The 24711-nt window shown below is 59.8% G+C and overlaps 1 protein-coding gene across 4 annotated transcripts in view, besides 9 other annotated features; it reads left to right on the forward strand.

Moving 5' to 3' along the window:
- SH3BP2 (SH3 domain binding protein 2) overlaps positions 1–24711 on the forward strand; it is a 48012-nt gene that overhangs the window by 6799 nt on the left and 16502 nt on the right. The window contains exons 1-3 of one of the 4 annotated variants that reach the window (NM_001145855.2): positions 12408–12594; positions 20731–20870; positions 23052–23154. In NM_001145855.2, coding sequence (NP_001139327.1) covers positions 12515–12594; positions 20731–20870; positions 23052–23154 — 323 coding nt within the window. In that variant the 5' untranslated portion in view covers positions 12408–12514. Of the gene's footprint in view, positions 1–12407; positions 12595–18286; positions 18508–18930; positions 19188–20730; positions 20871–23051; positions 23155–24711 lie in introns of those variants that run through there. The other 3 variants (NM_001145856.2, NM_003023.4, NM_001122681.2) reach the window with 3 other exon arrangements.
- Positions 1367–1416: an enhancer, noted in NCBI's record as "active region_21189". NCBI's record gives its function as "activates an Ori minimal core promoter by ATAC-STARR-seq in GM12878 lymphoblastoid cells {active_cell/tissue: GM12878}" and the evidence as "EXISTENCE:reporter gene assay evidence [ECO:0000049][PMID:35858748]".
- Positions 11993–13077: an enhancer, noted in NCBI's record as "nonconserved acetylation island sequence 125". NCBI's record gives its function as "activates a minimal heat-shock promoter by reporter assays in Jurkat T cells {active_cell/tissue: Jurkat}" and the evidence as "EXISTENCE:reporter gene assay evidence [ECO:0000049][PMID:17135569]".
- Positions 12262–12501: an enhancer, noted in NCBI's record as "active region_21190". NCBI's record gives its function as "activates an Ori minimal core promoter by ATAC-STARR-seq in GM12878 lymphoblastoid cells {active_cell/tissue: GM12878}" and the evidence as "EXISTENCE:reporter gene assay evidence [ECO:0000049][PMID:35858748]".
- Positions 13452–13551: an enhancer, noted in NCBI's record as "active region_21191". NCBI's record gives its function as "activates an Ori minimal core promoter by ATAC-STARR-seq in GM12878 lymphoblastoid cells {active_cell/tissue: GM12878}" and the evidence as "EXISTENCE:reporter gene assay evidence [ECO:0000049][PMID:35858748]".
- Positions 14262–14311: a silencer, noted in NCBI's record as "silent region_15183". NCBI's record gives its function as "represses an Ori minimal core promoter by ATAC-STARR-seq in GM12878 lymphoblastoid cells {active_cell/tissue: GM12878}" and the evidence as "EXISTENCE:reporter gene assay evidence [ECO:0000049][PMID:35858748]".
- Positions 18129–18368: a silencer, noted in NCBI's record as "silent region_15184". NCBI's record gives its function as "represses an Ori minimal core promoter by ATAC-STARR-seq in GM12878 lymphoblastoid cells {active_cell/tissue: GM12878}" and the evidence as "EXISTENCE:reporter gene assay evidence [ECO:0000049][PMID:35858748]".
- Positions 18629–18698: a silencer, noted in NCBI's record as "silent region_15185". NCBI's record gives its function as "represses an Ori minimal core promoter by ATAC-STARR-seq in GM12878 lymphoblastoid cells {active_cell/tissue: GM12878}" and the evidence as "EXISTENCE:reporter gene assay evidence [ECO:0000049][PMID:35858748]".
- Positions 18729–18808: a silencer, noted in NCBI's record as "silent region_15186". NCBI's record gives its function as "represses an Ori minimal core promoter by ATAC-STARR-seq in GM12878 lymphoblastoid cells {active_cell/tissue: GM12878}" and the evidence as "EXISTENCE:reporter gene assay evidence [ECO:0000049][PMID:35858748]".
- Positions 20205–20706: an enhancer, noted in NCBI's record as "H3K4me1 hESC enhancer chr4:2821815-2822316 (GRCh37/hg19 assembly coordinates)". NCBI's record gives its function as "activates a minimal SCP1, AML or CMV promoter by ChIP-STARR-seq in primed H9 embryonic stem cells {active_cell/tissue: H9 hESC(primed)}" and the evidence as "EXISTENCE:reporter gene assay evidence [ECO:0000049][PMID:30033119]".

A 24711-nucleotide genomic window follows, 5' to 3' on the forward strand; every position in this document is an offset into this window, starting at 1 on the left:
GAGAGGGGCTAGAGAGGTGGGGCCCGAGGGCCTGGTGGGGCTTCCAGCAGGGGCTGGCTTATGTTTTCAAGCTTACTCTGGGGTCTGGAGACCACTGCCGAACATACGCCCTCCAAGCAGTGGCCACAAGAAGACCATGAGGAGCTCGGGCGGGGTCTGGGGAAAGGGTGGGGGCTGCCACAGACAGAAGTGGGTTCGTCGAGGCTGCAGAAGGCTGGGTGGGAGTGGAGGAGGTGACGTGACCAGGATGGGGTCGGTGACCCCTGCACAGGGGCTACAGGGGATGAAAGGGGAGGGAGCAGCAGACTGCTGAGATTGGGGTGGCATTGGCCCTGGTGGGACTGACTGTCCCCGGCTCAGTCTCCCTCCTCCTTGGCTGGCTTTTCTGGCAGACAGTGGCATGGTCCAGAGCTGCCTCCCTGGGGAGGGAAAGGGCATCCCCAAGTCACTCCTGAGGCTGTGTCCCCAGAGTGTCCACCGGGCTGTGCCACCTCCCTGTCTGATGCAGCCTGCCCCTGCCTGAGCTGCCCGAGCCTGCCCCGTGGCTGCTTCCCAGCCAGGAGGAGGCCCTAGGGGCAGACACCGGCGGGCTTGCTTACAGGCCCTGCTGACTCCAGAGTCTTACTGCCACCCGAGCAGTACGTGGAGGTGCTTGTCCTGTGACCGCCCCCCCCCCGGGCTGATGACGGGCCAGGTGGCACTTCACCTGGGGGCTCTGGGGAGGCTGTCTCGGGCTCCCGTGCCAGGGGTGGGTGCAGGGAGGCTGGGCAGGCAGGAGAGCTCAGGCCTCGGCTCCCACGGGTCTGGGGCTGTGGTGGTTGGGGACCCTAACTAGAGCCATTCACCCCTCTGAGGAAGGACCTGGCCTGGAGCGCCATCCCCAGGGAGCAGTAAGGGCATTGGGGGTGTCTTGGGGTGACCTGGCCGGGGGCAGAAGGCCAGGCGGGAGTTTGCAGGTGGGGAACGGCTGGAGGAACTCGTGGAACAGCCTGAGAGGTGTCCGGCGAGGTAGGGCATGGGTGGCCTTGAGCCCTGAGGCTGAGCGGAGCTGTCTTTGAGAGCCACCTCTGCTGAGGCTGCAGCAGAAAGGCTGTGACAGGCTGGCTCCGAGGGAGGAAGGAGCTGGGCTGTGGGCGGCCTGGCCTTGGGAAGGGGGCTGGACAGTTGCATGGTTGGGGGCGGAGAGGAGGAGACCCTGATCCAGACTCCACCCCTGCCTGTCTTGACCGCGGAGGACCGGGGCCCAGACTGCAGGGGTGCAGAGAGGCTGCGGCAGAGGCTGGGGGCTGGGCTCCTTTCCCGGCAGGCCGGGCCCACCGCCAGACCCTTGTCCTCACTGGGCCTCTCTGAACAGTGGAGCGTTGTGAGGGGCCTGGGAACGTTCAGGTCACCCAGGCCCCCTCTGGGCCACGCTGAGGGTGAGGACAGGAGCCAGCGGGCATGAGTCATCCTGTCCCCTGCCCGGGCCCCGAGGCTCTGGGGTTCCCAGGCTGAGGAGGAACACACAGCTCTCGGTTCCCCAACCCGGGGTCTGGCCCACTCCTTCTTCCTTCTTTTTGCCTCTCTGTCAGCACCTCTTCCTGTTGCCTCCCTCTTGCTCCTGGGCCTGCCTGCATCTCCCTTCCCCTGTCCGGCCAGAGACCCCGGCCTGGGAGTGGCTGTGGCCTGCTCTCCCACCCCGATGCCTGCTGCAGCCCCAGCAGAGGGGCTGGCCTGTCGCCTTGAGCCCACCTGTGCTGGCCTGTGAGTGGCCCCAGGAGGAAGCCAGCGCAAGGACAAGACCCAGCCTAGACAGGAAACCTCCTGAGGCCAACCTAAAATTTACTAAGGAATAAAAAATGACAAGAAGCAGAAGGCAAGGGAATAGAATAATAAACCCAGAGAGTAAAAACGAACAACATCCGGGAAAAAAACCCATGTTAGAAAACAGTTTAAAAATATTAGCCAGGCGTGGTGGCTCATGCCTGTAATCCCAGCACTTTGGGAGGCCAAGGCGGGTGGATTAGTTGAGGTCAGGAGTTCAAGACCAGCCTGACCACCGTGGTGAAACCCCGGCTCTACTAAAAATACAAAAATAAGCCAGGCATGTTGGCGCATGCTTGTAATCCCAGCTACTCGGGAGGCTGAGACGTGAGAATTGCTTGAAACTGGGAGGCAGAGGTTGGAGTGAGCAAAGATTGTGCCACTGCACTCCAGCCTGGGTGACAGAGAGACCTGATCTCAAAAAAAAAGGGGCCGGGCGCAGTGGCTCACACTTGTAATCCCAGCACTTTGGGAGGCCGAGGCCGGCAGATCACCTGAGGTCAGGAGTTCAAGACCAGCCTGGCCAACATAGTGAAACCCTGTCTCTACTAAAAATACAAATTAGCTGGGTGTGGTGGTATGACCTGTAATCCCAGCTATAGGAGGCTGAGGCAGGAGAAGTGCTTGAACCAAGGAGACAGAGGTTGCAATGAGCCAAGATCGTGCCACTGCATTCTAGCCTGGGCACCAAAGTGAGACTCTGTCTCAAAAAAATATATGTGTGTGTGTGTGTGTGTGTGTGTGTGTGTGTGTGTGTATGTATATATGTGTGTGTATATATGTGTATGTGTATATATATGTGTATATGTATATATATGTTTGTATATATGTGTATATATATATGTATGTGTGTGTGTGTATATATATGTGTATATATGTATATATGTGTATATGTATATATATGTTTGTATATATGTGTATATATGTGTATATATGTGTATGTATGTGGTGTGTGTATATATATATGTATATGTGTGTGTGTGTGTGTATATATATATGTATATATGTATGTATGTATATCTATATACACACACACACGTAACGTTAGGGAAAAAGGATCACAGCGAATGCATTAAGGCAGCAGAAAGACCTAACCCTCAAGTGCTGAAATGAGTGGACAGAGGGAAGGGACCCTGTTGTGCTGACTCAGCCTTGGTGGGTCCCAGCCTGTGGCACCCGCTGACAGATGGTGACAGGGTTCCTGGGTAAGCGAGGGGCCCAAGGACCCTCAGTGGTGCACAGAGGAGCCATGATGGGGGCCACGCCTGGGCCCCAGCGTCCTTTGCCCTGACCCAGGAGCTTGTCCAGATAAAACGCCGTAAAGTGCCTGGGCTGAGCCCGAGGTGTGTGCAGGAGCTGCATGGTTTTGTGCGGTCCAAGGGAGGCCGCCAAGACCGCCACGGTACGAAAAGTACCACGGTGATGAGTGAAAGGGACAGGCGGCGCAGGGCTCTCAGGCCACTTACTGCTATACGGTCCCAAGGCCCACCCTGTAGGGCTTACACAGCTGCCTACACAGGGTGCCCATCGTGGTGGCTCCTGACCTCTGCCGTTGGCTCTGGGTGGGAGCAGTGGGGCTGGGTTTCTCTGACTGGCGCCCCTACTGCATGCCACCCCAGCAGGAGCCCCAGGGCCTCGGCATCTCCACTCTGTTCCCTTGTTATCTCGCCCTGGTGCTGGGATCCGGGATAAGCAGGGTGCTGTCCACTTCCAGGGCCTAGGGACCCAGTGCTGGGCCAAGTGCCTATGGCAGAGTGCTTGGGAGCTGTCTGGTTTGGTCCTCAGAGTCCTGTTGCTAATAAGCGTGGAGGGGGAGGACGGAGCAAGGCTCAGGGAGTGAAGTGACTTGCCCCTAGTCTCCAGCTTAAGGGACCAAGGCTGGGACTGGAGCCCAGGCGTGAATGGTGCCCAGGAGCTCATCCCAGGGAAGGTCTGAGATGCTGTCTGCCTCACCTGGGCATGTGGCCTGGACTGGCAGTTCTAACTAAGACCCACCTCTGTCTCTCATGTCAGAAGGTGGGTGCCTTCTCTTACCTGCAACCCCAGGGCCTTTGCACAAGCTATGCTCTGTCTGACTCTATGTAATCCCATGCTTGGCTAACTCATGTGGAAGATTGCTCCCAGGACGCTGGCGGATGTGTCAACGTGTCTGGGTGGAACAGATGTCACAAGGATGTGAGTCAGAGGTGGCTGCCTCCCTAACAGATTGGGAGCCCAGACAGAGGGTGACAGTAGCTTGGATCCCGGGTGCAGGGTGTGGCGTTTGCCTGTAGGTGCTGTGCCTGAGTGCCTCCCCTGTGCCCGATACCATGAGACTTCAGGCCGAGTGGAGTGACACTGTGCAAGAGAGACAGGGTCCGGCTGACCAGCCTCACCATGACTCCAGCCGAGCCCACTGAATAGGTGGGCTACCTTCCACCATTCCCTGGCCTCGGTTTCCTGCTCTCGGTTTCCTCAGCTGCCTGGTGGGTTCCACTGCAACTCTCTGGGGGTCTCCTTCTGTCCCGGCACCGCCTGCTCCTGTTCCTCATCCGAGTCTCTGCGGATGCGTGGACCCCGCCCTCTGTGCAGCCTCAGCACTAAGTCCTGGGTCCAGCAGCTCCGGGACTGCCCCAGTTACTCCTGGGGAAACTGAGGACTGGAGCTCTGCTTCTTTGCCCGAGTTTTCTCTAGGGTGAGCACCAGACCACTCTTTCTTCAAGGGAACCAGCAGCATTGAGCGGGACCCAAAAGGGGGCTGTGGCCTGGGAGAGCTTCCCAACCAGCCTCCCCAGGGGCTCTTGGGATCAGTTTAAAACAGAAGCAGCTCCTAACTCCTCAAGGGTGGGCTGGAGCCCCTGCTTCCCCAGGCCTTCCTGTCCTGCTGAGCTGGGCCCTGCGGTAGCTTCCTCCCTGTACCCCACATGGCGTGGCCCACCCTGTGTCCCCTGGCCTCCTACCCAGAGCCCTGCCCCCTCCACAGAGGCCAGGGCCCACCCCCACTGTCCTTAAGGTTGGTGGGCTTCCTTCTGAGAGTGGGCCTGGGGTTTCTCCTCTCCTTCTTACCCACCCCAGAGCCAGGCTCAGCAGGAAATGCCTGGTAGGGGCCCTGCCAGGGCCATAAGGCTTTCAGGGCACCCTCAGGTTGTGTTGTAGGGGTGGGCCAGGTGGCCCCAGGCTCTGGGTGACACTAGCCACGCTGGCTGGGTAGCCAAGCGTTGCAGCTCACTCAGCCTCGAGGTCCTAATCGGGAGAACAAAACGAGCAGTTGGCGATGGAGCGGGCACAGAGCTGGCGCACTCAGAACACAGTGGACATTTCCTTGGGGGCTCCCTGCCCCTCCCTTGGTCCAGCAGCCTAGCCCTCCTATCACAAGAGGTGACTGTGGGCAGGGAAGCACCCCCAACCTTCACACCCACTGTGCCCGTGGCCCAGGCGTCCCACGCATCCCAGGAGGGTCTGGTTGGCGGGAGCCCTCTGCTTCTGCTTCCTCTAGATGAGGAAGGTGCCCGGCAGATTTCCTACCTAAGCACACCCCCTGGGCCCGGAGGGTCAGCAGCCAGGCTGGTGTGGGCGTGGGGTGTCCCGGCCACAGCTGATCTGCTCAGTGACTGCTGCTGCCCTTGCCTATCGATGAGGATGCTGGGGCCGGGAGGTCACCCTGGAGGCCCAGGCTGCGCTTGGTGGGTGCAGAGCCCCTGGAGTGCCCCCCTCCTGCAGCCAGGGGTCCCCCGAGATGGAAGAAGTGGGGTGCCTGGGGCTGGCCAGATGGTGTAATTCAGCACATGAGCCCATGAGCTAGGCCCCACGGAGAGTAGGGGTTCCAGCCAGCTGGGGTGTGGACGAGGTCTGTTCATGCTGCAGGAGGCACCTGGTGCCAGTGTCACACTGGGCACTGTTCAGGCACCAAGGACATGGGGGACGGACATGCAGAGATCTCTCCCCACAGAACTGGTGTCAGGGGAGGGGCAGATAGCCAACAGACATGCTGAAAATGCCACAGCGTCGGGGGGTGCCGGGTGGGGGCTGCCTCTCTGAGGAGTGGGGGCCCTGCCGTGGACTGAGCCTGTGTGGGAGAAGGCCCAGGGCCTGCGGATTGGGGTCCAGCCCAGGGGAGTGTGGTCTAGATGAGGGGCCAAGGGGCAAGGGCGGGGCAGAGGAGGTGGAGAGGGTGGCGTTCCAGGTGGAGGGCACTGCTGCTGCCAAGGTGCAGAGAGGGAAGGGGTGTGGCACTGGGAATGTGGCTCTGTCTGTGCCAAGGGCCGCGGGGAGACGCCTGTTCTGGAGGCCAGGCCCGCAGGCAGGAAGGAAAAGCACGGCCGGACGCTGAGCTGGGCGGTTCCTCCCTTCCCTTGACACTAGAGCAAGCCCAGCAGCCAGCTGCCCCACCCCCACTGCTCAAGTGAGGAAACTGAGGCTCAGAGTGGGCCACAGGCCAGGAGGAGGGGATTGAGCCAGGCTTGTTCCCACCAAAGCCTGCACGCTGACCACGGCTCTATTCTGCCTGCCAAGGTCACATGCATAGAGCGGCCCTCTCTGGTGGGAGCCACTGGGTGGGGCAGGACTGCCGCCCCTCTCGGGACCCTGCGGGGCTGGGGCATAGGGTGCCCAGGCTGGCTGCGGTGAGGGACAGTGAAACCCTTCAGGCCAGGAGAGGCGAGGCAGGGTGGGGAGGAGGTGGGCCCCAGCCTTGGGTGGGAGCCAGGAACTTGGGGTGGTGGACCCGGCCCACCCCACACATCAGGACTCTGGAGAATTTTTTCTCAAGTGATTAAAAGGTAGAAACTCGTCAGTGTTTGTGAAGAACTGAAGTGTGAATCCTGAGCCGCCTCTGCTGCTTGTGGTTTGAGACTGGAGAGTGGCTCCAGGCGAGCAGCAGTGCCAGCCGTGGCTTCCCCCAGACCCACCTCGCCTTGCCTCACTTCACTGTCTCCAGCCCCACCTCACCGTCTCCAGCCCCACCTCACCCTCACCACCCTCGGCCTGGAAGCCCGCCCTGGCCTCCTCCCTCCAGCCAGTGTACGGCCCCTGCCTGGCCAGGCCAGAGCTCCGCCTAGGGCAACCCTCTTCCAGGTGTGGAGGCCCCCGGGCAGTCCCGACTCCCATGCCCATCTCAAGAACCTTTCCTGGGGACAGAGACACCAGGCCTGAGAGAGGAAGGCCCAGTGGGGCATCCGGAGATGTGAGAACATTGCAGCTTCCCTCTGAGGACAGAGCTTGAGGGCCAAGCATCCACCAACAGCTTGGCCTTGCTCTCTGAAGCCCAGGTGCCATGCAGGCAGCTGTGCCTACAGGGCCCTTGTCTGCATTTTTCTTAATTCCCTTTGTCCGTTGCACACAGCAGTGGCCTGACCGTCTCTGCCTCCACCCTGCACCGCTCTGTGAAGCCCCTGGGGCCTCTGAGCCCCGAACACACTGCGTCTTCTGGGAACACTGCTGTCTCCAGTGCACCAGCCTTTCTCTGTTTTGCAGCGAGCAGCCTCACGTGCGTGCCCAGGGCTGGCCGGCGGCTTGTCTCACTGGGCAGAGGTCCAGGGGTGTGGAAGGGCCTCAGCTGCGGCCGTGCTGCACTCCAGTTCTTTGAAAACCTCTCTCATTGAGAGTCCAATTAGCGCTAAGTCACAATTTTTTCACTCTGAGCTCTGAAGGATGTACTGGTTACAACCTCGCTGGGGTCTGGCCTCATGTATGGACATGACAGTGAACTCATCTGTTTGTCTGTCTGTCCTTCTCTTGGGTCCTGCCATGGGCCTGGTGCCCATCTGGGCCTTGGAGATTCAGTGGGACTTGGACCCGTGGGGAGTGCCAGGGACACATGGGGTAATGCTGGTGGCAGAACTGTGCCATTGACTTGGAGATTTCAGAGAAGAGGGCAAGGTTCTAGATGGTTCCATCCTCAAAGGATGAGGGAGCGTTTGGTTTCCATGTGGAGGTGACTGCAGGTACCAGGATGGGGCAAGTGCATGACAGGTCCAGTGTCGGGGGCCCAGGGCAGGAAGGGAAAGCAGGCGCCGCACCCCATCCACGTGGACAGGGAACCAACCTCGCTGCTGCGCCGTGGTGAATGTGGCCTGAGACAAGGAAGGGCAGGCCAAAGGGGTGAACGCGAGGCCAGGAGGTGGGGTCAGCAAGCCTGGCGGGTGTGGGTCAGGCATGGCAGGTGAGGCTGGTGGACCCTGTGTGCAGGAGGGTGGGAGGTGGAGAGCCCAGCCTTCAGGAGGCTGTGGGCACCTGCGGAGGCAAGCTCAGCAGTGCCCGCCCAGGTTGGTCACAGCCTTGTGGAGCCTGTCTCTCCCTGACAGGCACGCCCACACTCGGGATCAGACTAAGTGGAGCCTGCAGTTCATCCTGGGGAAGGACTCAGGTGAGTCCCCGTGTGGATTCATTTCCTGGGGCTGCCCTAAGAAAGTTCCACACACGAGGGGCCTGAAAACAACAGAAATTTACTCTCATGATTCTGGAGGCCAGAAGTCCAAAGCTGAGGGGTCTACAGGGCTGTGTTGCCCCGGTGGCTCTGGGGAAGCCCCTTCCTCCCCTCCCAGCTTCTGCTGGTGGCCGGCGATCCTCGGTGCCCTTGGTGTGTGGCCACATCCCTCCAGCCTCTTTTCCATCCTTACATGGTCCTTTCCAGGCATCTTCTCCTACTCCATCTCTTACAGGACAGTTGCCTTGGATTTAGGGCCCACTTGGTCAATCCAGGATGTGCTGCTTAACTTAGTTACATCGAAGACCCTTTTTCCAAATAAGGTCGTGTTCACAGGTTCTGGGGATTAGGATGTGGACAAAGCTTTTGGGGGCCACCTTTCAGCCCACTACAACATGTGGCCCCAGGCAGGGTCCTTCTTTCTAGGGTTCCCTCTCCCTCTATCCCAGTTGGGTAGTGCCCAGTCCGAGTTCCCGGGAATCCTCCCAGTCCTGCATCATGGGACAGCAATCAGAATGGGGCATAGAGGGAAGGGGCTTCTGGCTGGGGAGAGCCTGGGAGGGTCCCAGGGATGGCTGTGGAGCGGACCCAGGCCCCATGGGAGGGGCTCATGCAAAACATCTTATTTTGAGAGCTTGAGATTTTCCCTGGGGGTGCCCGCCTTCCCCCAGGCTCTGTGCCCACCCACCCTCCTAGGGCTCAGTGCCCACCTTCCCCCAGGCTCTGTGCCCACCCACCCTCCTAGGGCTCAGTGCCCACCTTCCCCCAGGCTCTGTGCCCACCCACCCTCCTAGGGCTCAGTGCCCACCTTCCCCCAGGCTCTGTGCCCACCCACCCTCCTAGGGCTCAGTGCCCACCTTCCCCCAGGCTCTGTGCCCACCCACCCTCCTAGGGCTCAGTGCCCGCCTTCCCCCAGGCTCTGTGCCCACCCACCCTCCTAGGGCTCAGTGCCCGCCTTCCCCCAGGCTCTGTGCCCACCCACCCTCCTAGGGCTCAGTGCCCGCCTTCCCCCAGGCTCTGTGCCCACCCACCCTCCTAGGGCTCAGTGCCCGCCTTCCCCCAGGCTCTGTGCCCACCCACCCTCCTAGGGCTCAGTGCCCACCTTCCCCCAGGCTCTGTGCCCACCCACCCTCCTAGGGCTCAGTGCCCGCCTTCCCCCAGGCTCTGTGCCCACCCACTCTCCTAGGGCTCAGTGCCCACCTTCTCCCAGGGTTAGTGCCCTCCCTCCCTCCCTGGGCTCATTACCCACCTTCCCCCAGGTTCAGTGCCCTCCCTCCCTCCTCTGGGCTCAGTGTCCACCTTCCCACAGGCTCAATGCCCTCCCTCTCTCCCCTGGACTCAGTGCCCTCCCTGAGCTCTGCAGACCCTCCTTGGCATGTTCAGCACCTGAGCCTCTCCTGAAGGTGGCAAGCAGGTACCAGGCTGGGTACAGGGTCCCTGGGTGCCAGTCCCCATGCCACTGATCCCTAGCTTCCTCTCTGAACCCCAGAGATGCAGATGGCAACAGGACTGTCCTCTTGGGCTGTGAGCCTTGAGATGAGGCAGGTGCCGTGAGGCAGGAGGTGCCAGGGCAGGGTCAGCTCCGTGGTGGCTGCAGACACCACCCACTGTGCTGGGTGTTTGCCTTACTCCTGAGCGGGCTGAAGGCTCCCAGAACCCAGTGAAAGCTCCCTCCCTCTTCTTTTTCAGGCTGACCCTTGGCCCTCTGCCTGCCCTGCTGGCTGGCTCCCACTCATCCTGGTAAGTGCCCTGTGTCTGGCATGGTGGGAAGTCCCCAAGCCTGGCAGTTTGAGGCACCAGCTCAGGGGCAGGGGAGCAGCTGCAACTTGGGAAGGATGGAGAGGGACACCAGGGCTGCCCATTGAGGCGGCCCCGGCCATGCCCCGCTGCACACACCCCCTGCTTGGATGCAGGCGTGGGGTCATCTCCATGGTTACCGGCACAGGGTAAATGTCAAGGAGTGGCCATGGCTGAGGAGGGGAGAATGGCCTGTGTTTAGGAATATGAACGGCAGTGTCATATGCCGCAGGGATGAAGAGGAATTGAGAGAGCAATTGGAGAAGCTAAGGCCCAGAGAGGAGGGGTCTGCAGAGGTCACCCAGCAGCCCAGGACTCCCAGCTCCAGCTTCCCTCTGGGAAGATAGGGTTGGGGAAGGGGCTGGTGTGGATTTGTCCCCCACCCCCAGGGTCCCCTCACCTGGCCTGCTCCTCTCCTCTGGGCTGGACTCCCCCTGTAGCATCACAGCATTGGACCAGGGCTGTGGGGGGAATGGGCCTGGGCCAGGGTCAGGTGGGTCTTCTGCTTGCTTCTGCCTCTGCCGAGTCTATGAGTGTGGGGCTTTTGGCGGAGCAAGGGCAGGGGCGAGCCTGGCTCCTGCTTCCAGCTCAGGCCTTGTCCGCTCTTGCATTTGCCTGCCCAGTAAGGGGTGGCGTGTTCCTGAGAGCGCCGGCTGCCTCTGGGTTCTTATCTTCATGGGTTGTCATCCCTGAAGCTGTGCGTTGGCCACCTCATTGCCTGTGGATTCCTCCCAACCCTGGGGTGTGCTCACCCCAAGCCCCTTCCTCCCGTGGCTCCCTCACCCCAGCTCCTTCCAGCAAACTTCCTCCTCTATCAAAGCTGGGCCCCTCCTCTGGGAGGCGTTCCCCAGTCCAGAACCCACAGGGCCTGGTCCCTCCTCTGGACCCTGCAGCCCCAACTGTCAGAACTGCCTGCCTCATCGTCCAGGCTGGGCAGTGGCCCAGGGGTTCCTCACCTGCTGTTTGATCTCAACCCTCCTGCAAGGAGGAAAGAGAATGGGAAGAGGCCCCACTCTGTCCGTGCCCTCCTCGCTGCCCTCTGTCTGTCTGCCTGCTGTGGCCAGCCTTCTGCTGAAGGTGTGGTCTGCCCTTGGCCACCTGAGGGGACTGAGGCTGGCACAGGCTGGGGACGCCAGGGTGTCTGTGCCCATGCTAAGGAGGCCCCAGACCTAAAAGCCCAAGCTCCTCACCCTCTAGGAGACAGTGGGGTGTCTGCAGCCCAAACGGGCCCCGAGGGGGACCTTGGCAGCAGGGCTGGGGCTGCAGACACAGCTGGGGAGACGGAGCTCCTTAGCCTGGGAGCTGCCTTTTTTGAGTGACCCGACACCTAGGCTATGGGACAGCTTGGGACCTGCACAGCCGGTTACGGGGCTGGGGTCCAGGGTTTGTTGGGAGGCTGATTTCGGGGGGCCGTGCCCTAGGAAGCCTGGCGGGCAAGATGAGACCCCTGCAGCTTTGTGGCCTGTGCTCTGTGGCCTCTGTCACCCTCAAATCCTGCTGTGAGGGTGGCCCCAGGCCCCAGAAAGCCCCTTTCTCCAGCTGCCTCTGCCCAGGGGTCCTGTCCTCCCTGGGCAAGTTCTGGGAGGAGAGGGAGGGCGCTCAGCAGCCAGTGGCTAGAATCCCCATTCCCTGCTTCCGGGCTCTGGGCCTGGGCAGGGCACTGGGCTTGGTGGGGGCAGAGCAGCCCTGGGAGGGGCCGAATTCTGAGCGGGCCTTGGGGCAGGGGCCGGTGAGTACGGGAGCGTGCTTTGCCACTCAGCCATAATGTACTTTCTAGCAAACCAGATGTTAGCAGAGCTGGTGTGGTTGCGGGGACGTGAAAAGGCTGGGGATAGAGTAGGAATCGAGGAATGCCAGAGCCCAGGCCTAGTCCCTCAGTCCCTTGGTGTCAAAGGGCACAGAGATGGCCACCTTGAAATTCATAGAACCGGGTGCAAGACATAACAGCCCTCTGTGTGGCCTCAGATGGCAGAGCAGGGTGGCAGCAGCTGCCCTGGCAGGAAGAGCATGCTGGTAAGGTGACACCATCCCTGTGTGTGTTGTAAATGCTGCTCTGTGCTGGGCCTGACACCCAGGGTGCAGGTTGTTTCATGGTTTGCTAGGGAGAAGCCGAGTATTCAGAGGTGGCCCTGCGGGGAGGCAGCAGGGAGCTTCCTCCCAGGGATGCAGCTGACCTTGCGCTGGAGCCAGAGAGCCCTGGCCTCTGACCACAGGATGGGAGGGCAGGAGCAGTGGAAGGTAGGAGTTAAAACCCGGATGGTGGATGAGGGGCAGCCCTGGGCCCCAGGCAGCTTTCAGGACCTCACAGGGTAGAAGGCAGGAAGTGCCGGCTACTTGGTGCTGCCCAGGGAGCAGGGAACAGGAAGTCCCGGGTGGGGAGGAAGCACCGGCGGCCACAGGCCTCAGAAGCAGCAGGAGTGAGCTGTGGGCACAGCTGTGGGGCAGCCAGGCGCGTCAGGCCTCACATGTCTGGGAGATGTAGGCTGCCTGGGCTGGTGGCCCCTGAGCCGCATGGCCTCCCTGGGCCCCAGGACACCGGCCCCGAGCAGGTCACGAGGACGGAGGGCCATGTGTTGGGTCAGCACCATCAGGTCAGTGGGGCGGCCCCAGGACTGGGGCTCGGGAGGCGGCACTGGTCTAGCACCTGAAGAACCAGTAAGGGGGCCCCACGTGGGAGCCACAGCCTTCCTCGGGGCTGGCCGTGGGAGCCCACAGGAGGTGGCCCTGAGCCTGCAAAAGGCAACAGGCTCTGAGGAGAGTGGCCTCTGTCTGCCTTGAGAGGCCCCCGAGCTGGCAGGCACAGGGGGAGGCCAGAGAGGGAATGTGATACTTAGAACCCCCCCCACCCCCCCATCACATGCGGCCGACAGGGAGGCGGGGGCCAGCCTGCTGGGGTGGGGCCCAGGTCCGGGAACTTCTCATGATACAGCCTGCAGGGTGGCCTTGGTGTTTGGGTCCTAAGTACACACGTTGTGTATGTGAGTGTGTGTTTCTGTTGTGGGGGGGTAACGGAGAGAGCTGTACAAGGTCCCTGCTGCCCACCTGGGGAGTGCCATGCTCTGAAACCTGCAATGTGGAGGACCCGCAGGGACCTCAGGGACTGCCGGGCTGGGGCTGTGCTCGCAGAGCCCAGGCTGGGCCACCCTGCCCCTGGCCAGCAGTGCTTCTCTGGCATAGCTGGTTACTGGGCCTTTACGGGAGAATTTTGGTTTTGATTATGTTAACAGAGAAAGATTCTGGGAACAGGAAGGAAACAAGGGAAACCGAAAAGGAAGAGCAGACAGCTGTGGGGAGGCAGGGCAGCCAGGGCTCCAAGGTGGAAGCCGCCCCATCTGCACATCCCACGCCCACCACCGGCCACCCACTGTGCGCCAAGCTGGGCCGTGGCTGTGCTGGGCCGGGGGTGGTGCGTGAGCCACCATTTACTGGCTGTGTGACTTTGGCCAAGTTTCTTCGTCAGTGACTTGGGGAGGACTCTGGTTTGAAGCTCAAGGTGTTGGATGATGGGGCGATCACTGAGAAGCACAGAGCTTGGCCCACAGGGAGTGCCCAGTGCGCTCGGCACAAGGCCTGATCCTCTCCCAGCCTCTATACCCAAGTCTGTAAAATAGAAGTAAAGTATTGAGCTCAGGTGGACCCTGGTCGATTTAGTGAGCTGTGAGGTACAGCTTGGCACTGGGCCCTGGCAGGGCTGGGAGTGGTGGTGATGATTCTGTGCTCAGGCTTCAGGACACGGAGACACAGAAGACCGCACTTGACAGGTCTTGTTGGTCGTTGGAGGCTGTGTGTGTGTGAATGAGTGCTTGCATATGCATGAGTGAGTGTGATGAATGTGTATATCAGTATACATATGGGTGTGAGTGTGCACGTATGAGTAGACATGAGTGCATGAGTGTGTATGAGAACATGAGAGCGAGTGGGCATGCGGGAGAATGAGTGTGTATATATGTGTTAGTGTGGATGGTGTGAGTGTTAACTGTACATGCATGAGTGTGACAGGATGCGCATATATGAGCGTGTGAATAAAGTGCACAGGGTGACCTGGTATCTTCTCCCTTTGGGCTGGATCCCCAGCCCCAACTTGCCCTGTGGCTCCCACAAATGGGGCCAACCTGATCACCACTAACAGTAAGTCCTTGACCCTGTGGTCACATGAGGTGCTGGCTCCCTTACCACAGCCAGGATGATCCTGCAGGAGCCCAGCCTCCCAGAGCCCCCACCCTGCTCCTATGCAGGGGCTCACGCCTGTGTGCATGCGAGCTGTGCAGCTCATGTGCACGTCCTGTGTGAGTGCACCACCTGTGACATTAACTGGGTGTGCAGAGACACAGCGCACATGAGGGCCTGCACAGGCCATGACCACACACGCCACAGGGCTCATGGGGCCCCAGGGTGGTGGGAGCCACAGAGCCTGCATTAAATGGAACCCGATGGGGTGTCTCTGTGGGACTGAGCACTTTTCACCTGACTGCTCTGCCCCCCACCGCAGCAGCCTCAGGCCTTGGGGTCACCTGAACCAATTGCAACTTTGAGAGAAGGTAGGGAGATGAGCACAGAAACAGAGACCTGGAGAGTGTATCCCAGGTGCCCCGTCTTCCCTAATGTGCATGTGCACACACACACACACACGCACACACGCACAAGTGTACAGGCTCAAATGCAAATCTCCACGTGTGCACACATGCAAAGATCACATACTTTCTGGAAGGGCTCATGGAGCCCAGCAGCCACCACCAGCTTTGGCCGCCCAACGCTGGCCCATGTGTCTCCAGAGCCCTGCCCCAGAGAGCAGCTGCAGAGGTGTCAGGGGACTCTGAGAGTGGACTCCTCCATACCCACTTTACACTGGAGGAGGTGGGGGCTCAGGGGAAGGAGGGGCCCCAGGAAGGATGTGAACCCAGATCTTCAGCACTCTCCCTCACAGCTCCTGCCCATGTTAACTCAGCCGACACCGCAGCAGCATGGTGACAGGTCCCCCCAGGGTGTCTGCCTCTACAGAGGAAGGGACTGAAGCACCCAGAGAGCTGGCAGGTAGGCCTGTGGAGTCCCCTGGAATGAATGAATGGAATTTAACCATCAGGTCCCTGGAAGAGGGGCTGGGCACTGAGAAGCACAGCCAGGGAGGCCTGGCCAGCTAGGAGTGTGGGTGCTCCTTGGGGATGCCCCCTGGTTTTCCCGAGCACAAGTGGGGCCAGATTCTGTGAGCTGGGCTGAACTTCCCCAAGAGCAGCATGGTCACCACGGCCTCCATGGCCCATCATCACCCTCAGCCTCAGCCGACCTTTCCCCTTTCTGCTCTCAGCCTGGCCTGGCACTGGGCTCCTGGCCAGGTATCACCCCCTGGCACAGGGCAGGGCCAGGTGGGGCAGAGGATAGTAAGGTGGCAGGGGTGGGTTTCCCCTTGAATGGCCCCTCCTCTGGAGAGGGGCTGTGGGTGTCAGCGTCTGTCCCTGAAGCGAGGAATTCCCAGGGGAGGTGAGGGTGCCACATGACCTGCCCTTGTCATGACCTGTCCCCCTGCCCAGGGTCAGCTGATGATCACCTAAGAGCCTTCATCCTGCCCACAGCGGGACAGCAGCCAGGCAGGAACGAGCCCCTCACAGGCCTGCCCCTATCTGGCCACTGAGCTGGACCCATGTAGGACTGTAACCTGTCCCTGTAACTCTTCCTGCTGAGCCTTGTCCAGGTGTGGAGCCAGGAGGAGGTGGTGGGTTCCATCTGTCCTCACAGTGGCTCCTCCCACTTTGACACACAGGCCAGGTCTTATAGCTTTTGGGTGGCGGGGGCACAGTGGGGTGTGATGCCCCAGGGTAGGGGCTCTGTTTCAGCTTCCTGTGCCTTCCAGGCAACTTGCAGTCCCTGTCACCCACAGGGTGAACATTCCATCCTTCTTTTGGGGCTACCTGGGTGTCCCCCCTGGGCTGGGTCTGAGCTGGTGAGGATGGGAGACAATGACCAACTAGTGTGGTCAGTGTTAGGGGCAGAGAAGGCTATGCTAGCCCCAAGGGAGGGACACAGGACTCCAGAGAGGTTATGGGAGACTGCCTGGAAAAGGGAACGCTTGAACTAACTCTTCCTTTCATTTTTGGATTGTTGCTAGTATATAGAAATAGAATTGATTTTTGTATGTTGATCTTATATCCTGCCACCTTGCTGCTCATTTATTCTAATAATTTTTTTTTTTTGAGATGAAGTCTCATTCTTGTTCCCCAGGCTGGAGTGCAATGGCGCAATCTCGGCTCACTGCTACCTCCACCTCCCGGGTTCAAGCGATTCTCCTGCCTCAGCCTCCCAAATAGCTGGGATTACAGGTGCCTGCCACCTGGTATTTTTAGTAGAAATGGGGGTTTCACCATGTTGGCCACGCTGGTCTCGAACTCCTGACCTCAGGTGATCTGCCCGCCTCAGCCTCCCAAAGTGCTGGGATTACAGGCGTGAGCCACTGCGCATGGCTATTCTAATAATTTTTAAGTGGATTCCTTGGGATTTTCTGTATGTAAAATAATCTAATCAGTGAATAATTGTTCTTTCTTTCCATTCTGGATACCTTTTATTTCTTTTTATTGCCTAATTACTCTGGTGAGAATCTCCAGTACTATGCTGAATAGAAGTAGAGCAGACATCCTTTCCTTGTTCCTGTTCTTGGGGGAAAAACTTTCAGTCTTTTACCACTAGGTATGTTAGCTGTGGGTTTTTCATAGAACCCTTTATCAGATTGAGGAACTTCCCTTCTATTCCTGGTTTGTTGACTCTTCTTATCATGGAGGAGTGTTGAATTTTGTCAAACACTTGTTCTTCGTCTATCAAAATCATGTGGTTGTCCTTTATTCTATTGATATGGTGTATTACATTAATTGTTTTGAATATTAAACCATCCTTGTATTCCTGGGATAAATCCCACATGGTCTTGGTGTAGAATCCCTTTTATATGTTGCAGGATTCAGTTGGCCAGTATTTTGTTGAGGATGTTTATGTCTATACCCATAAGGGATATTGGTTTGTAGTTTTATTGTGATGTCTTTGTCTGGTTTTGGTATTGGGATAATGCTGCTCTCATAGAATGAGTTCCCTCCTCTTCTATTTTCTGGAAGTTTGTGAAGGATCCATGTTCTTTTGAGCCAACTCTTGATGGCTGGGTTAGTTCAGTTTCAACTTTAGGCTGTGGCAACAGCAGGGGCTGAGGCCTGCAAGTGGGTGCTTGCTCGATTCAGGTAACTGGAGCCATAGGGTCTGGCTGGCGTAAGAGCACAGAAGGTAGAGGGCAGGAGTGGCTGAATCAGGAAGGGCCAGGTTGGCATGAGGAGGCCCTAGAGGTTTAGCACTGAGCAGTGATGGGAATGGTGTGCGTGTTGATTCTGTGCTGGGTGGAGGGGGCTGGAGGCAGAGGAAGCCTGAGGAGAGGAAGTGGAGGGGGTTGCCAAGAGGCAATGGAGAGGGGCCTGGCAGGGCGGCTGGAAGGAGGTGGGATCCTTGAGGCAGGCCAGACAAGGGCACTGAGAACAGAGGCACAGAGATGGGACAGAGCCTCGAAGGCTGGGTGCAGTGGGAAGAAGTCCAGATAGCGGGCCTGAGGTGGGGCCTTGAAACCAGGGTGGGTGCCCAGGATGGACAGCTAGGTAGGGTCAGGCCCAGGCTGTTAGAGCCACACCTGCATCTGGCCCATCTTGGTGGCAGCTTGTTTGCAGGTGGAAGATGGAGGAGGCAGGATGCCTGGGAGGCCAGCAAGGGCCTCTGCCGGCCTTTGGCCACCCCAGGGGACTCTCCTGGGTGAGGTGCCTGCGTTTGGGCAAGCAGGTGGGAGGTGCCAAGGACCAGACCCCTGGCTCCTTGGAGAATCCGGGGCTGGAGGCCCATGGAGTCCCGCAGGAAAGTGGAGAAGGTGAGGGCGGGGCACGTGCCCGATCCCTTGCCCCGTTGCCGCCCTCCATGCAGGTGCCGTTTTGCAGAGGCCACTTTCCCGAGGGAGCTGGTTGCAAGGGCCCGGCGGGATGGGACCTGGGCGGGGCCTCAGAGCCGAGGCTCCCGCGCCGGCCGTGGATTTCCAACCAAGCTGTGTGGACTGGCAGGTGTTGGGGGAGTGGAGCGGGAGGCCTCGTTTGCATCGAAGGCTTCTTGATTCCAGGCTGCACCAACAGATGTGGGCCTCCTGTCCCAAGCGCCCACCAACCTCCTTGCAGCGTGGGGAAACTGAGGCCCGCAGGGGGCTCACGTGCCTCCCGCGCACGGTGACGCGGCAGGGGGCGGGGCCGGGAGGGGCGCGCCGGGATCCTCACCTGCCCGCCCAGTCCCCCGCCGAGAGGGGAGGAGCCGGCGGCTGCCAGGCCAGGGCCGGCGGGCATGGCGGGCTCCGGGCCGCGGCCGCGGAGCTGGGGCCGGCGGGAGGCGGGCGCCCGGGACGAGGCGGCGGCGGCCGGGGGACGCGGCCCGGGGCCGTGCCGGTGCTCGCAGGGGAGGCGGGCGTGGATCGCCCCGGGGAAGCCGGCCATGCCCGCCGCGTGGACGCCGTGAGTACCGAGCCCCGGCCCCCGAGCCCCGGGACCCGGGCCGCGAGCTTCCGGCTCTGGACCCCGCACCCCGAGCCCCTGGACCAGGGCCGCGAGCCCCGGGCGCTGCTGGTCGCCCACGCGCTTCTTGGGGGAACAAAGGCGGGCGTGGACCGTCCCGGCGGGCGGATGGGGGACTCAGGCCGGCACGGGGCTTGTCGATCTGCGGGCAGCTCCCCGCGGGCGGACTGGGCACGGGGCTCCCTCCTCCATCCCCACTGCGGGGCTCCTTCGGGCCGGGCGCGGTTGGGCGGGCGGCGGGGTGTGGCGGCGCCTTTGTTCCAAACCTTGGCCTGTGGTTGGGGGTCCTGCGGCTGGGACCCGCCCCTGACCCCTCCCTGCCCAGAGGGGCTGTCTTTGGGTGCAGAAGGAGCTGGTGGGGTCCAGCCGGGTGACCCAGGCCGAGGCCGGCAGAAGACAGCCTGATGCCTTGAAGACTTCCTCTTGCACTTTTGTTGGAGGGTGCTGGTTTGCTAAAAGCAGAGAGTATTTTTCTTTTTATTTATTTTGTTTTTAATTTTTTAATTTTAGCTCCAGCTCAGTTGCCCAGACTGGAGAGCAGTGGCCAATCATAGCTTACTGCCTCCTGGAACTCCTGGCTCAATCGATCCTCCTGGATAAGCCTCCTCCGGGTACTATAGGTGTGCACCACCAAGCTCAGCTAATTATTTTTTAGAGATGGTTGTCTCTATATGTTGCCCAGGCAGGCCTTGAACGCCTGAGCTCAAGTGATCCGCCTGCCTTGGCCTCCCAAAGTGCTGGGATTACAGGCGTGAGCCACTGCGTCCGGCTATTTTATTTATTTATAGAGACAGTGTCTCACTTTGTTGCCCAGGCTGGAGTGCAGTGGTACGATCATAGACCACTGCAGCCTCAAACTCCTGGGCTCAAGTGATCCTCCTGCCTCAGCCTCCTAGAGCAGCTGGGACTACAGATGCACCCCACCATGCCTGACTAATTAAAAAAAAATTTTTTTTTAGAGATAGGGTCTTGCTATGTTGCCCTGGCTTAGTTTTCTTTATGTATGTTTTTTGGGGTTGGAGCTGTAGTGGAACCAGTCCCAGCCCCACTGGGCATCTGGGTCTGACCTTAGCTGCTCCACTAAGGGCTTAACAGGACACTGGCCACAGGCCTGCTCCCATCCAACTCCACTGGGGCCACAGGAGTGACCCTACCCAGGATGGAGTGAGGGCAGGCACAGACCAAACAGTGCAGGGTCGGGGGGTACTGTTCACTGGGACAAGAGATGAGGAAGATGCTGGATTTAAGTGGGCAATGAGGGTGCCTAGCAGAAGAGGGGACTCTTAACCTGGGTCTTGATGGATGAGTAGAAGTTCTCTGCATGGGAAGGGGTGGAGGTCATTTCAGGCAGAGGAGGAAGCATTAAACAGCATGGTGTATCTCAAGGAGAGCAGCTGGAGCATGAGTAAGGGGGGCTGGAGTAGGGGGCAGGGCATGATGTTGGGTCCTGTGGGCCTGGGTTAGCCCCAAGGCAGTCACTGGTCCTCCACTGACTGTGTGGTCCTCGCTTGGGCTCAGAGGGAAGGGGAGTGATATCCTGGGCTGGTGGGGTGGATAGCAGCCAACCCACCAAATGGTGGTCACGACCACTGCTGACAACAGTGTGCTGTGTGCTGGGCTGGGTGTCCACTCTGTCCTCCAGCATCTGAGGCTTGGGATCTCCCAGAAAGTCACACCAGGATGGGAGCCCAGGTCGTTTGAGCTGGGTGCTCTTGGCTGCTCACTTGCCTTCTTCCTGTCTAGGCCCCTTATAGGTTCACCTGGCACTGGGACTTGAAGTAGTTATGGCCTGAGGTCTCACTTACCTGGGCTGGCAGTTTTCTGAGTTCGTTCATCTCTACCCAGCCCCCGTGGGGCCTTGCGCTCAGTGGCTGTGTGCAGAATGAACCAGTGGAGAGAAAGGGCTGCACGTAGCGCTCAGGATCCTGGGGTTGGGTTTGTGGCTGAGTGGACCAGGGGCTGACTGAGTGGAGCCCGTGGCTCTGTCTCTCCCTGGGGTCCCACCTGGAAGCCCAAGGCCCTCAGAAAAGGGGTTTCCTTGCCTGTCATGGCCCTACCCTCCAAGCTGTGTCCTGGATCTTGGCAGTGTCCCCCTGAGCGCCCTGGCTCAGCCATCTCCTGCCTGACCGTAGCTGAGCCACGTGCCTTTGTCCTTTATTGCAGCTTCATGGCGGCTGAAGAGATGCATTGGCCTGTCCCTATGAAGGCCATTGGTGCCCAGAACCTGCTAACCATGCCTGGGGGCGTGGCCAAGGCTGGCTACCTGCACAAGAAGGGCGGTACCCAGCTGCAGCTGCTGAAATGTGAGTCCCTGGGGTGGTAGGGTGCACAGTAGGAGGGCATGGGGGCAGGGCTAGCCATGTAAGTAAGCATCCTCTCCAAGCCTCTGCTTCCTCACATGGTGTGCCCTCTGGATTTTCCCATTCCCTCTCTGGTGGCTGGCACCCCTGGAGAAGCAGAGGTTGACTTCCCTAGCCCCCAGGACTGTAGCAGGGTCCGGGGTGGTGCACAGTGCTGGCCAGCTGGCAAGGGGAGCTGCAGCCTGCAGCCAGGACCTGGGGACCACAGGTGGCCAGGTAGGTCTGGCCTCTGGTGCTGCCCTCACTGAATCCGTGAATGTTCAGTGAGTTAGTTGGTCACTTCGCCCACAGTGAACCTATGTGTCAAGTCCTGGCTGGGTGCTGGACCTCTGGAGCTGCACAAGACCCAGGCTCTGGCCCCCAGGACAGCTGGCTGGGAGGAAGAAGCAGCCCTCAGGCTTGAGAGATACCCAAATGCTGAGATACTGAAGGCCAAGAGCATCAGGGCCTGAGCAGCAGGTGCTCCATGCCTTTGCAGTAGCAGTGCCCTCTGCCAGGGACTCCCTGGTCCTGGGCCGCCTGGTTGAGATGTCCAGGCTGGACTGATTGGTTCCTGTACGGGCACTGGTTGAGCTGTTCTCCTCTTTGCACAGACAGCCTCCTTGGAGGAGCTGTAACTGGCTTGTCCCCCAGCCTGGGACAGGGCTGGGGCAGTGGAGCTAGGGTGGTTTCAGTGTAACTTTCCACCTAGGGGTGGCCCCACACCAGTGGCTCTCACTGGCAAACTCTCCGGGCTCCTGAGTCTCCCTCTTTTATTTTATTTTTTCGAGACAGGGTCTTGCTCTGTTGCCCAAGCTGGAGTGTAGTGGCGTGATCATGGCTCACTGCAGCCTCAACCTCCCAGGCTCAGGTGATCCCCTCAGCTGGGACTACAGGCATGCCACTATGCCCTGTTAATTTTTTTTTAAATTTCTTGTAGAGATGGAATTTCATTATGTTGCCCAGGCTGGCCTGGAGCTCCTGAGCTCAAGCGATCCATCCGCCTTGGTCTCCCAAAGTGCTGGGATTACAGGTGTGAGCCACCGCATCCAGCCTATTTTTTATTTATTTTTGTTTTTTATTTATTTATTTTTTTGAGATGGAGTCTTGCTCTGTTGCCCAGGCTGGAGTGCAGTGACTTGATCTCAGCTCACTGTAACGTCCACCTCCTGGGTTCCAGCAATTCTCCTGCCTCAGCCTCCTGAGTAGCTGGGATTACAGGAGTGTGCCACCACGCCCAGCTAATTTTTGTATTTTTAGTAGAGACAGCGTTTCACCATGTTGGTCAGCCTGGTCTCGAACTCCTGACTTCAAGTGATCCTGTCTTGGCCTCCTAAAGTTCTGGGATTACAGGCATGAGCCACCGCGCCTGGCCTATTTATTATTTTTATGTCTCACTCTGTCACCCAGACTGCAGTGCAGTGGGTGCGAACACAGCTCACTGCAGCCTCGACCTCCTGGGCTCAAATGATCCTCCCACCTCAGCCTCCCAAGTAGCTGGAACTACAGATGTATGCCACCGTGTCCGGCTAAGTTTTGTATTTTTTGTAGAGATGGGGTTTCACATGTTGCTCAGGCTCACCCCATCTTTTATTTTTAGAGACAGTCTCACTCTTGTCACCCAGGCTGGAGTGCAGTAGCACGATCTTGGCTCACTGCAACCTCTGACTCCCGGGTTCAAGCAATTCTCCTGCTTCAGCCTCCTGAGTAGCTGGGATCGCAGGCGTGAGCCACTGCACCCGGCCTTAGTCCCCCTCTTTTAGCTCTGGGGTAGTGGGAGCCTCCAACAGCCCTGCAGCACCCAGCAAGTCAGCTGTGGCCTCCCTGGGCCTCTGGTCCTGGCTCTGCCTTGCCTCATGCTGGCTCCACACAGCCCCCCAAATCTACCTCTTCTTTGTGGGCAGCCAGGCCTGCCCTCGGGTGGCACTCTGGGGCTAGCCAGTGTGCCTACAATTTTTTCCGTATTTGGCCCCAGAGTGGGCTCCTGGGGAGGGGGCAGCATGCCAGCCTTGCTCCCTGCTCTTCCATTTGGTAAGGCTTAGAGGCAGGAGGCCTGGCCCCAAGTTGTCCTGTGGAGGGTCCTCACAGTGGGTCTTGGCAGCTGCCCCTCCAGGCTCACCTTCCTGCCCTTGCCACCTCCCACAGGGCCCCTGCGCTTTGTCATCATCCACAAACGCTGCGTCTACTACTTCAAGAGTAGCACCTCTGCCTCCCCGCAGGGCGCCTTCTCCCTGAGTGGCTATAACCGGTAAGTGCCCGACCTGCCTGCTGACCTCGGGCCCCCACAGCCAGCGGGTCCCTCCCAGCAGAGCCCCAGCTGGGCCTGCCCCTTATTCCCGCCCAAGGAAAGTGCTTTCCCGAAGCAGCCTTCGTGCCCATCCCCTGTCCTCCCCGCCCAGCCTCCACAGTGCCTCGCCCTCTCCGCGTGTCCTGCCCTCAGGCGCAGGACCTTGGGGGTGCCAGGGTCTTCCTGTGGCTTTGTGCACAAGTCCCAGAGGCCTGGACAGCCTGCTCTCCAGAGTCTCCACTCGGCCACCACCCAGTGACTTCTGCATCTCTCCTCCCTCCCCACCTTGCCCCTTCACCCACCATGACCTCTTTCCAGGCAGCCCAGACCCCAGCCAGCCCAGGCCCTGTCCCAAACAGAGGCTGGGCCCTAGGATTCCCTGCTCCAGGGTCCTCCCAGGCCGGGATCAGTTTCCAGCTTCACGCATGTCCTGGGCTGGGCTCTATCCAGTGATGGGCCATGAGCTGCCCTGGAGGGCCTTCTGCACTAACAGGCAGGTGGGCGGTGGCCAGGTGGCATGTGGGTGGGGGAGTGCACTGGCACAGCCCATGGCCTGGGGCCCACACAAAGGGTTAATGCTGGCACCCAGCTCTGGTTCTGGTTGCTATCCCATCGGAGCCCTGCACCCCACAGCATTTATCTATGCCTCTTACCACCCCTTAAGGGCCCAGCCCCTCCTGCCTATGAGGAACCAAGGGTCACATGGTATCAGTAGTGGAACTGGGACCTTTGGAGTGACTCTAGGCCCCGGCCTGCACCCTGGCCACAGGCCTGGTAGGGCAGCCTTGCCAGAGCACCCAGCCTGGTGCCAGGCCCCCATGCTGGCACAGAGCTCCGGGGTCCCCTGGGGAAGGTCGTTCCCTTTCTGCAGACAGACACAGCGCCTTCCGGCCTCCAGCATGTGCCAGCCATGCCATGAACCCTGGGCCCAGTGGCAGATGCAATCATGCCCCAGGGAATTGTCTAGCCCATCAGGGAATGCTGGGCCTGAGGAGTTTTGGCCAGGCTCTTATGGGCCGTATAAGTGCACCTGCCCCGGTGCCTGGCTGGCAGGGCTCCCCACGTGATAAACTCAGCGCAAACCCCACATCCTGGCTGTGTGAGTGGGCCGCAGAGCAGGCACGAGTCATTCCCTGAAATGCACTCAGGGCTGCTGCTGGGCCTCAGGGGCACGGAGCCCTGTGGGGTACCCCAGGGAGGCCAAGCAGGCCTGGGCAAATGGGGCCAGAGGTGGGAGGGTGGCGTCCATGTAAAGTGGCATTGGCGGGCATCGAGGCAGGTTTGTCCTTGTCTCCTGTGCACTGCTGCTCCCACGAAGCCCACCCAGCACCCCTCTTCCATGCCCCTCCATGCCCCCTTACGCCTGCCTGGGCATGAAGCTCACTACTGGGAGCATCAGCAGCCAGGGCCCACCCGATCTGCCCTCTTCCGTTGGGGCGTGGTGCTGGTGCCGAGACGTGTTCACAGGGGGGTGCTGTGGGAAGGCCATCCCTATAGCTGTGAACCAGGCCGTGACCC

This window comes from Homo sapiens, chromosome 4, assembly GCF_000001405.40.
Source record: "Homo sapiens chromosome 4, GRCh38.p14 Primary Assembly".
In the NCBI taxonomy this organism is placed as follows: Eukaryota; Metazoa; Chordata; class Mammalia; order Primates; family Hominidae; genus Homo; species Homo sapiens.